Raw genomic sequence first — 12,853 nt, forward strand, 5'->3', positions numbered from 1 at the left:
AATGCTTCAGGGTTGAACTTTACACACAACAGCCTGGATTCATATCCCAGCCCTGCCCCCTTCTTTTCTGGGTGACTGTGGCAAGTTACTTAACCTTTCTGTGGCTTAGTTTTCTCATCTGTAAGATAAAGATGCTAATAAAGCAATTCTATAGGGTTGATATATATATAGATTAAGTTGAGCTATACAAAGCCCTCTGGTTCATGGTAAACATACTCTAGCTGGTATTCCGTATACTTTTTTGGATGTTTAAAAATGTGATTACTTTTAAAAATAGATCATGAAGCATAAATAAAATTGATTGTGGAATATTTACGAAGGCATTGTAACATTATTGCTGTTACCGAATGTGGAGTATTTTTGTTAGAAAGCAAAAGTTACTACTACTGTCTTCTAGTATATTTGTTTATGGACAAGGAATTTGAGAATTATCCTCACAAATTTTAACACTATGGGTTTTCTCCTTATGATTGTGATGGGATGCTGTCATGGGAAAGTTTTTTTAAAGTTCTTCTGTTGGAATAAATAAAAAACACAAAAATAAAATGTCTGTTATCTATGCAGTACTTTTATTCGAGGATCAACATTGCCTGAGTTCCACAAAGTGAGAGGTTATTTCCTTTATTTTACTGATGGAAATGACACACAAAGAAGGTAGATGGTTTGGTTGAAGTTATGACGGGTGAGAGGGAACCTGGCCCCCTCCTTGTGAACCGAGAGGGACAGGGTTGGCGACCAGCATGCACCATGCTCCCCGCCCCGCCTTTGCCTGCATTGGTACAGGAGTAGTCTAAACTGCCGACTGCTTCCCCTTCCTCTCCTTTTATGTCACATCATGCCCATCACTTATCCAAAGTCGAGACTGCTAGGTTATATCCTAAAGAGGTCATTTATTTTTAAAATTAGAATCAAAAAGGACCTAGAGTTTAACAGAAGGATTGACTGAGGATCAGGGAGACATGTCTCTTAGTCTTTTTTCTATTAAGTATCTGCACAAGTCACTTACACTTCAGTTTATCAGACCTGTTTTTAGGATCAACTTTGTGACAAGCACTGTGCTAGACTGGTGGAGATAAAAAGAAGAATATTAAATTTCCTGCCTCAAGGATATCATTGTTTATAAAAGAAGCAGACAAACCAACAACTTCAACTTCAAGTGTATAAGGAGGTGTATAAAATATAGCTGAAGATTTATGAAGAGTGGTTGACTCAGCCTCAGGGAACACATGGAAGTATATTTCAGGTAGAAGGAATAACGTGAGCAAAGATGTTAGAGAAGCAAGGAGTTGACTGTAGCTTGAGAATATATCTCAATGGAGCCAGGAGAGTTGCTGCTGGAAAGATGGGCTGGAAAGCCACCTGTGAAAGGCTGTGCATGTGATGTCACAGTGTCCTCCACGGGGCTCAGGGGGACACAGTTCATTATCTTAGAAGATCACGCTGATAGTATTGGGGAAGTAGAGGCTGGGACAGGAGGGCTGTTTTATAGGGTGACAGTAATCCAGGTGGGAGATGGCAGTAATGCTCACATGAGATAACAGTGAAGGCATTGGAGAGGAGGAGACAGGCAGGTGTTTCAGGAGTTAAAATACAGAACTTGGTGACCTGTGAGTGTTTGGCCTCTTAGAGTCTTTGTTGTCACACACATATTCCCTGTCCAAAGGCACAACACTATTTTAAGTAATACTGAAAGGTCTTCAGGGCACAGAGATCTGCAGTGAAGTCATATTGTTAAGTCCTCTATATGTAGGATAAAGCAGTTTGAAGAGTTTTGAAGCATGTAATGATCATCCATTCATCCAACAAATACCCATTGGAAGCCTACAAAGTGCCAAGTTCAGATTAGGTACTTTGGATACAGCAACAGAGAAAAAACATGGTTCCTGTTCTCATGCTGCCTACATTCTAATGAAAGAAAGACATCTCAAACACCCCTAGTTTAAAAACAAAACAAAACTTTTAAATATTTCCAGAACCAAGATGCTGTTAATCAAATTGTGAATGATTTTGTAAGAATAAATTGGTTGCCTTTAGATAAGACATTTATCAAGGGTGATATATGAATAACAGTGGTTAAATGAACAATTAAGCCACTGTGATAAATGAGAGGCAAATCTTTCTTAGGTGGAAATTAAAAGTGTAGAGGCTAACCCATTCCATGTCATAATTTATTCGAAACACTTTCTACTCAGCTAAAAATAACAAGCCTAGCTGTATTGAAATTGTAATATTGCTTATTTTTGTGGACTAGTGACCTTCTTTAAGAACTAAACATATAATTGTTTACTAGTATCTGAAAGGCAAAAGTAGAAAGGCAGATTGCTCTGTGTTGTACAAATGCATAATTTTCTGAGAAATTATGTTTCAATAGCTTTTTAAAATGCTTGCAAATCCTATTTTAGTATGATTTGTATTAGTATTTCACAAAAAAAAATCTTCCCAATTGGCTTTTTATTTCTTCAAGGGCATTTTCATATTATACCAATGAAATAAAAACTATATTATTTAGATGTATTTAAAGTTTGCCTGTGTATGATTAAGACTTCCAAATATGCGAAATATACCCAAATGCAGCAATCTAGCAAATAGCTGTAAACCTCAGAATATAATTTTCTTTCAGTGAATTGGATTTGACTAAGACTGCGAGGATGCCAGGAACCACTTCAGAACTGAAGAGGTGTTGACCTTTCTAGCTTGGTATCCATTCCTTGAGGTCTGAAAAGAGGAAATAATGTACAACCTCAGGTCAAACAAGTCAGTGTCAGGGCACTGAGGCCTTAGCTCCAGCATCCCATTAATTCAAATGTTATTGCCGTGTCTATTTTCATTAGCAAAGCAGCAGCCCCCTTCTCCCCACAGGTAGAGCTGCCTGACCATCTTGGGTCTCAGCAGGAGTGAGCAGAATGCAGGTGATCCGCTTCATTTTAGGTCCAGCAATAGCTTCTCTTTCAATATAGATCATATTTATGTAACTAATGGCTTGTGTCCCCAAAAAAGTGTATTAGAACCAGAAGTATTTTTATTTTATTAATATTCTTTTTTTGAGACAGTCTCACTCTGTCTCCCAGACTGGAGTGCAGTGGCGCGATCTCGACTCACTGCAACCCCCGCCTCCCAGGTTCAAGCAATTCTCATACCTCAGCCTCCTAAGTAGCTGGGATTACAGGCATGCGCCACAATGCCTGGCTAATTTTTGTATTTTAAGTAGAGACGGGGTTTCACCATGTTGGCCAGGCTGGTCTCAAACACCTGACCTCAAGTGATCCACCCGCTTTGGCCCCCCAAAGTGCTGGGATTACAGGCATGAGCTACTGCGCCTGGCCCAGAAGTATTTTTAGAGCATGGCAAAAATGAAAAAAACATGCTTTATGCCTTCAAGGCTATTTTATGCTTGCTTTAGGTAAGAACAGTGATCAGATTTATAATCAAGTAAATCTGATATAATGATTGATGCACCTTAGTTGGCTTATTGACCATTATGATACACCTATCAGTCTGCTTTTTTAGTACTGCCTTAAAATGGATAGGATTGCTTTCTTAGACCCAAAGAAAGCATTTTTATTGCCTTTTTCAATTTTCTTTATTTTTGTCATGGTAATACATATATATGGCAATCAATAAAACAGTAATATTCCTGAATAGTAACAATGTCTCACCTTGGTTTTCACCCCAATGCCAGCTCTTCAAAGGAAACTTGTTTTCAATTCTTCCAAAAATCTGAACAAATGCATATACCTCTGTTTCTTGATTTATCAACTTAATAAAATATCCATAGACTCTGCTGTGAAAGATGAGGATTTAACTCATTTTTGTTAACTTTCCAATTTGATTGTTGGGTTATTAAAATACACAATTAAGCAGTAGAAGAAGTTAAAATAATGAGAGAGGAAATAAATATATTTTCTCCACCTAAGGATGAGGATATTAGGGATATCAGTGTCCCTATTCATTCCACTGTTCTCTCCTCCCTGCTCCTGCTTCTCACAATCTTCTTATTGTCACAAGTTTGTCAATATTTTTACTCTTAATAACTAACCCTTTTCTGCTTTATCCATAGGTTGATTCTAAATATTCAGAACCACTAACACCTTTTATGTCACTTTCACAGTGTAAATATTGTTCCTAGCTATTCATATTCTAAGATTGCATTTCTTTTCATCCCGATGAGTTTCACAAGCTCTGGTGCAGTCAGAGAAGAATGTTTCTAAGGGTTGTTGGGTGGATAAATGACTTAATCCATGTAAAGGGCTTAGAACAATTTCTGGTAGAGTAAGTCTTCAATAAGCCCGTCCCAGCATTATTATTAGTACTGTATTTCATTACATCTGAAATGTCACTGACTGTAAGCAGTATTATTATTTTATGTTCCGCAAAGAAAGAAAAAAGCATGCTACCGATTAAACTATAATCCCCAGGAATTTAGAGACAAATCTCACAATTACTAAAATGTGCAGAAGTGTATCTTAGAATCAGTGAAATATATTTTTGTTTTGTTACTTTGTGTGTGTGTGTTTTCCTAAAGCTTTTGGTAGCCTTTCTTGACAAGAGAACAGTGTTCCTTCACCATATTTGTTTGGTGCCCATGAGATTCCCAAGCTGGTTTCCTGCTACAGTTTGGACTAATTGATTTACCCTAAACCTAAGTTGATCCCCCAACCCTGAGGTTTTCCCTGCGTTGATCCACTGTTCCCCTAACTTCATGTTTCTTCCTTTTTCCCCCTTGTTTTGGTGGAATCCATCAATAATTTCCCAAGAATGGATTGGTAGGAAGTAACTTTTGGAGTCCTTAAATTGCTGAAAATTTCTTTCCTCTAATATGACTAAAAAAAAAAAAATACAGGTCAGATCTCACTATGTTGCCCAGGCTGGTTTTAAACTCTTAGGTTCAAGCAGTTCTCCCACCTCAGCCTCCCAGAGCGCTAGGTTTACAGGCGTGAGCCACCGTGCCCAGCTCTCTAATATGATTGAAAGAGATCCGCAATGCTTGTTCCTTTTGCAAGGGTTATAGCTACAAAAACTCCCACATCTTTTTGAGAATTTTAATTAGAAATTTTTAAAAAGTGATCTTCTGTTATTGAGTGATCTTTTCCTTTGGTTTTTCTGTTCCTTTTCCCTCATTTTTCTGATTCTCCCAGTTTTCTTCTGATGCCTTGTCTACTTGTTTGTTCATATTTAAGAATGCAGGACAGGCTGGGCGCAGTGGCTTACGCCTGTAATCCCAGCACTTTGGGAGGCTGAGGCTGGTGGATCACCTGAGGTCAGGAGTTCAAGACCAGCCTGACCAACATGGAGAAACCCCATCTCTAGAGTACAAAATTAGCTGGGCATGGTGGCATGTGCCTGTAATCCCAGCTACTCGGGAGGCTGAGGCAGGAGAATCACTTGAACCCGGGAGGTGGAGGTTGCGGTGAGCCGAGATTGCTCCAGCCTGAGCAACAAGAGTGAAACTCTGTCTCAAAAAAAGAGAATGCAGGACAGAAATCTGGTGTGGGTTCCTGCTGCAGTTGTGTAAATAGGTTTATGTCCTACTAGGCCTGAAAGTAGGATGGGATATGTTGTGAAAAGTAGGACGGAACAAGTTGATTGGCAGGGCTGCCTTTCCAGAGCAGGTAGAGAGCTGGCACTTGGTCAGCAGGCCTCCAGTGACAGGGCTCAGATACCAGTACCCACGATAGAGGTCTTGATTCTCCCATGTGATAGGTACCATTTCCTTAGCAAAGTTCCTTCTGACTTTTTTCTGGAAAGGGGCTGGGGTAGGATAGTGGGGAGTAGGGATGTCCTGGCTGGTATAGCCATTATAAGTTTTTCATTAGTCTCCTGGATTCAGATCCACTTGTTACTGCCACCCTCTCTTACCAGTTGTCCCTGAGCCCGGAGCCTTTCCATAGTTCCAACAGATGACTGGCTTCCACCTTGGATGCAGCCCCTGCATAGTGTGATGTGGTCCCTCATACTGCCATGTGTGGTCCCCTGACCATTGGCATCACCTGGGGGCTTGCTTAAAATGCAGAATTTCAGGCCCTAGGAGACCTACTGAATCAAAATCTGCATTTTAATGAGGTCCCTGAATGATTTTATTCACTTTAAGATTTGAGAGCAGTTCAAGGCTACAGTTTCATTGCTGTGTCTTAATTTTTAACACATGCCATCAAGTCTCCTCCAAAGCTTTGTTAGAATCCTCATGAGGTGACAACTCCTGACCCATCAAGCTCCAGACACCCTTCTTTTTTTTTTTTTTTTTTGAGACGGAATGTCACTCTTGTCGCCCAGTCTGGAGTGCAATGGCGCGATCTCCGCTCACTGCAACCTCCCCCTCCCGGGTTCAAGTGATTCTCCTGCCTCAGCCTCCTGAGTAGCTGGGATTACAGGCACCTGCCACGACACCCAGCTAATTTTTGTATTTTTAGTAGAGACAGGGTTTCACTGTGTTCGCCAGACTGGTCTTAAACTCCTGACCTCAGGTGATCCACCCGCTTGGGCTCCCAAAGTGCTAGGATTACAGGCATGAGCCACAGCGCCGGGCCCAGACACCATTCTTTAACCTCTTGCTAACCATGGCAGACCTCAGAACATTTCGGGCAGTAGTTACTGAGGGTGGAGGTAGGGGCCAACGTAATGATGAAACATTGAATTTTGAAACATGTAGTTGGTCCTAGTGAATAAAGTTCAGGCATTTTCTCTTACAGCAAAATTTCATAATTGTGTATAATGTGATTGATTGATTAAGGAAGTTGATATGTCTAATGCAGATTACCATTAATTATAATTCACCTTACTGTCACCCTGACATCCAGCTTCTCTAGGAGCCTTTGGGCTTTGTGCATTATAATTTTGAAGGTGACAGGAATATCTAAGAACTCTGCTCTGTTACTCCTGGTGGTGATAAGGAAAAGAAGGGCTGTAACTCATGAGCAAAACTTAAATGCATTGAAATGCTGGATTTACTTGGTGATGGTTTAGCTTTTTTATTTTTTCGAGACAGAGTCTCGCTCTGTCGCCCAGGCTGGAGTGCTGTGGTGCCACCTCGGCTCACTGCAAGCTCTGCCTCCCGGGTTCGTGCCATTCTCCTGCCTCAGCCTCCTGAGTAGCTGGGACTACAGGTGCCCACCACCACGCCCGGCTAATTTTTTTGTATTTTTAGTAGAGACGGAGTTTCACTGTATTAGCCAGGATGGTCTCGATCTCCTGACCTCATGATCCGCCCGTCTCGGCCTCCCACAGTGCTGGGATTACAGGCGTGAGCCACCACACCTGGCTGGTTTAGCTTTTATGGCTATATACTTAAAGCAATAAAAACTACTTTTAGTATTGGAATTCATATAAGAAAAAATAATTTTGCTATTATATATTTAAAACCATAACTTCATTCCCTCTTATTTTTTATAGAAGTATTTATTTTTAATTCAATATTTGATAAGTGGATTTTTTTTTAAGGAATGTAACTGTCATGTTAGACTACATATTATTCTTAAAAAGCAGCATGAGGCCAGATGTGGTGGCTCATGCCTGTAATCCCAGCACTTTGGGATTCTGAGATTGGAGGATCGCTTGAGCCCAGGAGTTTGAGACCATTCCGGGCAACACAGAACTTGTCTCCACAAAAAAAAGAAAAGAAAATTTACAATGTGTGGTAGTGTGTGCCTGTGGTCCTAGCTTCTTTGGAGGCTGAGGTGGGAATGTTATATATAAAGTTACGGTGCCACAAAAGGAATAGCACTCGAATATAAAATTTTCTTTTTAATTCTCAGCAATGCAAGTGACTTCTATAGAAGGGTGCCCCCTTACAGATGGAGCAATGGTGATCTCACGCTTGGACAAGGGAGGGAAAGGGGTTCTTATCCCTGACGCACGTGGCCCTTGCTGCTGTGTCGTTCCTCTATTGGCTAGGGTTAGACCGCACAGGCTAAACTAATTCTGATTGGCTAATTTAAAGAGAGTGACAGGGTGAGTGGTTTGGTAGGAGTCAGGGCAGAGCAGGTAGCAGGTAACTGGAATGAGTTAGGGTGGAGCAGGTGATCGGAATGAGGGTGGAGTAGGTAATCGAAAAAGGTTGCTTTACGAGGAAGTTAAGTTTAAAAGTAGAAGACAAAGAATTGAACATACTGACATATTAATTCTTTGAAAAGAAATTTAGAACTCATATCTAACAGGGAGATTGCCTGAGCCCGGGAGGTTGAAACTGCAGTGAGCCCAGATCACACCACTGCACTCCAGCCTGGGCACCAGAGGGAGACCCTGTCTCAAAGAAAGAAGCAGTATAGCAGTTAAGCATAGAATTTAGATAAGACTGCTTGGTTTCAACACTTCTACCCATGTCACTTTGGGCAAATTACTTAAGCTTTCTGGTCCTCAGTTTCATCATTTATAAAACAAGGAAAGTCATAGTATGTTTTAATGGGTCATTGTAAGGAACAAGTTAATCAAAGTAAAGCACTTAGAGAGAAGTGCCTGATACGTAGTCAGTGATTGATAACTATTAGCTGCTGCTACCATAAGTTGGAAGTACTTTAGTAGCAATGCAGGATGGGAATTGTAGTTTTTATTTGTCATCCTGGTTCAGGATTTGAAAATAAGTAAGATAACACCTTAATAGAAGAGAGGTAGCCTGGGTAAGATAGTGCTAAAACCTAGAAAATTCCCTTTTGGCGACAAGTAATTGGATCTGAGTAGCAGCCACACTCTGAAATGGGACAGGTGGTTTTCAGGTAATGGGACAACGGAATACCATGTGGTAGAAGGAATGAGGTATGTCTATATGTACTGAATGGGCTTGTGTCAATTTTGCTACTGTTGTGCTAAAACTGTCAAAACTATGTATATAATAGCCCATTTTTATGAAAGAAAAAAAGCTGTTTGTTTTAGTACACATAGAAAAAGGTTGACAAGGATCACACTAAATAGTTTATGGTAGTTACTCCTGAAGAGTAGGAATTGAAAGAGTTTTGAGGTGGGATACTTTTTATTCTATGTACTTTTTTTTGGTTTTAATTTTTGTAATGATGTGTATTGCCTTTTAAAATTAAATTTAAATTAAAAACAAAATCTTTTTACATGACAGAAAGCAAAGGGGCTCACACATCCCTTTTTTGCACCACTCAATGTTATTGTCAGGGTTCCAGCTCTGCCACGTAGTGGAACTAAACTGCAGGTTCTGAATATACATCAGTAACCCCCTTGAATGTGAAATTCATGCAGCTTGGCCCATAACCAGTTCCCGGCCACGAACTAAAAGGCCACGGAGGGGGTCAGTGAAAGCTGAAAATTGTCTTATACAAGGTGATGGCAGATTTAACAGCAGCTGGACCACATGCCCACCTTTTAGGGGGGCTTAGATTACTGGTCTAAAAACTAACAACATTTGAAAGAATTGTTCCATAATTGGGGTGGATAAAGAGTTTATGTCTGACCAGGGATGGAGGGGTGCAGTGGGACTATATTTGTTTTTTTGTTTTTGTTTTGTTTTGTTTTTTGAGACAGGGTCTTCCTCTATCACCCAGGCTGGTCTTGAACTCCTGGCTTCAAGCAGTCCTCCCACCTTGGCCTCTGAAAGTGCTGAGTACAGGTGTGAGCCACTGAGCCCAGCCTATATTTGTAGAGTTAGTAAGTAAAACAAGTTGTCAAGATCCAGAGATGGGCAGAAACTAAGGGCTTCAGATAATTCTTGTGACAGAATACCCTCCTCAAGCACCAACTGCAAGGGAGACTTGTCTGTTTTTTGTTTTGTTTTGTTTTGTTTTGTTTTGTTTTGTTTTTTAGACAGCAGAGTCTTGCTCTGTCACCCAGGCTGGAGTCCAGTGGCATGATCATAGTTCACTACAGCCTCGAGCTCCTGGGCTCAAGCAATCCTCCCACCTCAGCCTCCTAAGCAACTAGGACTACAGGCATGCACTACCACATCTGGCTATTTTTATTGTTTTTTGTAGAGACAGGGTCTCACTACATTGCCCCAGCTGGTCTCAAACTGCTGGCTTCCAACAGTCCTTCCACCTCAGCTTCCCAAAGTGCTGGGATTACAGATGTGAACCAGTGAGCCCAGCCAAGGGAGACTTTTAAATGTAGTATAGTTGGAAAGTTCTGGAAGGTGGGAAGACAGATTTTGCTGGACAGCAGCAATTTCTGCCAAATGTTTTCCAATTTACAGAGATATAATCCATACCATAAAATACATCCTTTAAAGTGCACAATTAAAATGAAGTATACAATTCAGTGGTTTCAAGTATATTGTTGTGCTGCCATCAGCACTGTGTAATTCCTGAACATTTCATTACCCCATTGCCTCTCTTACTCCCTCCTCAGCCCCTGGGACCCCCTAGTCTATGGATTTGCCTATTCTAGACATTTTATGTAAGTGCAATTGTACAATAGGTGTACAATGTGGTTTCTTAGCATAATGTTTCAAGATATACCTGTGTTATAGTATCTATCAGTACTTCATTTCTTCTTACAGCTGAATAATATCCCTCATACACAGATACATCACACTTTGTTTATCCATTCAGGAAGTGATGGGTATTTGGGTTGTTTTCACATTTTGGCTATTATGAATAATGCTTTGCTATGAATAGTCATATACAGGCTCTTGGGTGGATAGGTTTTTCAATTATCTTGGGGATATACCTAGGAGTGAACTTGATAGGTCGTATGCTAACGATTTTAACTTTTTGATGAATTACCAATCAAATTGTTTTCCTAAGTGGTTGTGACATTTTACATTCCCACCAGTAATGTATGTGGGTCCAGTTTCTCCACATCCCTGCCAACATGTGTTGCTATCTGACTTTTGATTATAGGCATCTTAGTGGTGTGAAGTGGTACCTCATTGTGGTTTTAATTTGCATTTCTCTAACAATCTTGAGCATCTTTTTATGTGTTTCTGCTATATTTAATATAAGAGTTTTAAAACATAGGGACATCCATATATTTTCACTTAAGTTAGCAGTGATCAATATTAATATTTTCACTTTACCTGTGATACATAAATAAACCTGTTTCTGACCTCCTTCATATCTCAAAGTGATTGATAGAAGCAGAATTTTATTAATTTCCATATAAAAGGACACATAACTGTGACAATAATAGAAAAACAATTAGATACAAGATAATCCATAATGAAGTGACGAAGCTATAGCACTGAGTTATAGCACTGAGTGATAAGGCTCAATGCTCTCCAAGATAGTCACACAGTGATCCATTGCGGTGCCAGCAGAAAACATTAGATTTCCTGATTTTTATTTAATCTAAGAAATTAAGCTGGCCGGGTGCAGTGGCTCACACCTGTAATCCCAGCACTTTGGGAGGCCAAGGTGGGTGGATCACCTGAGGTCAGGAGTTCGAGACCAGCCTGGCCAACGTGGTGAAACCCCATCTCTACCAAAAACACAAAAATTAGCCGAGTGTGGTGGTGCATACCTGTAACCCCAGCTACTGGGGTGGGGTGGGGGTAGGCGGAGCTGAGGCAGGAGAATCACTTGAACCCAGGAGGCAGAGGTTGCAGTGAGCTGACATCATGCCACTGGCATCCAACCTGGGCGACAGAGTGAGACTCCATCTAAAAAAAAAAAAAAAAAAAATTAAGCTTTACTAACATTTAATATATTGATTGGCAGTAGCACTTATACATAGTGTAAATAAATATACATATTCTGGGGCTGTTGTTTGAAAGCATTTTTTTTTTTTGAGACGGAGTTTCACTCTTATTGCCCAGGCTGGAGTGCAATGGTGCGATCTCGGCTCACCGCAACGTCCGCCTCCCGGGTTCAAGTGATTCTCCTGCCTCAGCCTCCCGAGTAGCTGGGATTACAGGCATGTGTCACCATGCCCAGCTAATTTTGCATTTTTAGTAAAGACGGGGTTTCTCCATGTTGGTCAGGCTGGTCTCGAACTCTTGACCTCAGGTGATCCGCCTTCCTCCGCCTCCCAAAGTGCTGGGATTACGGGCATGAGCCACCGCACCCAGCCGAAAACATTTTTACATATGGAGTATACAGTAAAAAAAGCTGGGACCTCTAGGACAACAAGTGAAATGACCGATTATAGTTGAGAATTTTTTTAAAATAACTCAATTATTACTTAATTTTTCACCCTTCATTTAGCAGGGAAAATAATACCTCTTATTCTAGAGTATACTGTTTCTATGAATCTGACTTTAGAGTTTGATTCAAAGAATATAAATATATCTTTTTAAAAAATAGTACCTAAAATTATATTTTACAGAATATTTTTAGTCTCTAGGATATATTATTAAGATTTATGTTACAGGTTACTAGCTTTTTAACACTTTGTATACTGTTAGAATTAATGCTACTAAATTATTATTCTGTGTTATGGAAGGCAACCATCTCATAATTGAAAGAAAAGCTTTCTTTTCCTGTTTTGCCTATACTTATAAATGAGTATAGAATGCTAATCCATATAGGAAAATACCTAACTTTTTTTCTCTATAGTGTCATGGAACAACATAATTTTTATTTTATAATGAACTTCTCAAAAATATGTGTTGCTATTGTCCACTGACCCACTTAGAAATCAGCATCCTCCTATCCATTAGGTTATTACTTCTTGGGTGGAATTTAATGAATATTAATAGCCTAACTCAGAAGAGAAGCAGGTAATTTATTATAGCTTTGTGCATTTCCATTTTTATGTGTTATCTGTTTTCCTTTTGCTTTATGTGCCATACATCTTTTGTTTCAAATTGATTAATAATACCTTTTTGTTTTTGATTTGTACTATGCATTTTTAGTAAAAGATGCCTTCATATTTTGATCCTTACTGATTAATATATGCAATAAATGTAGATATGTAAATTGAGTAAATTTAAAGGAAGGAATGGTTTCTAATCAAATGTTTGTAA

The 12,853-nt window shown here is 39.8% G+C and overlaps 1 protein-coding gene across 4 annotated transcripts in view, besides 1 other annotated feature; it reads left to right on the forward strand.

The window, feature by feature from the left end:
- KIAA1958 overlaps positions 1–12,853 on the forward strand; it is a 182,571-nt gene that overhangs the window by 97,300 nt on the left and 72,418 nt on the right. The gene's annotated exons all lie outside the window — the stretch shown is intronic.
- Positions 11,430–11,619: a silencer, noted in NCBI's record as "fragment chr9:115357836-115358025 (GRCh37/hg19 assembly coordinates)". NCBI's record gives its function as "represses an EF-1alpha promoter that drives an FKBP-Casp9 reporter gene in an ReSE screen in K562 erythroleukemia cells {active_cell/tissue: K562}" and the evidence as "EXISTENCE:reporter gene assay evidence [ECO:0000049][PMID:32094911]".

The sequence above is a fragment of the Homo sapiens genome, chromosome 9, assembly GCF_000001405.40.
Source record: "Homo sapiens chromosome 9, GRCh38.p14 Primary Assembly".
Classification (NCBI taxonomy): domain Eukaryota; kingdom Metazoa; phylum Chordata; class Mammalia; order Primates; family Hominidae; genus Homo; species Homo sapiens.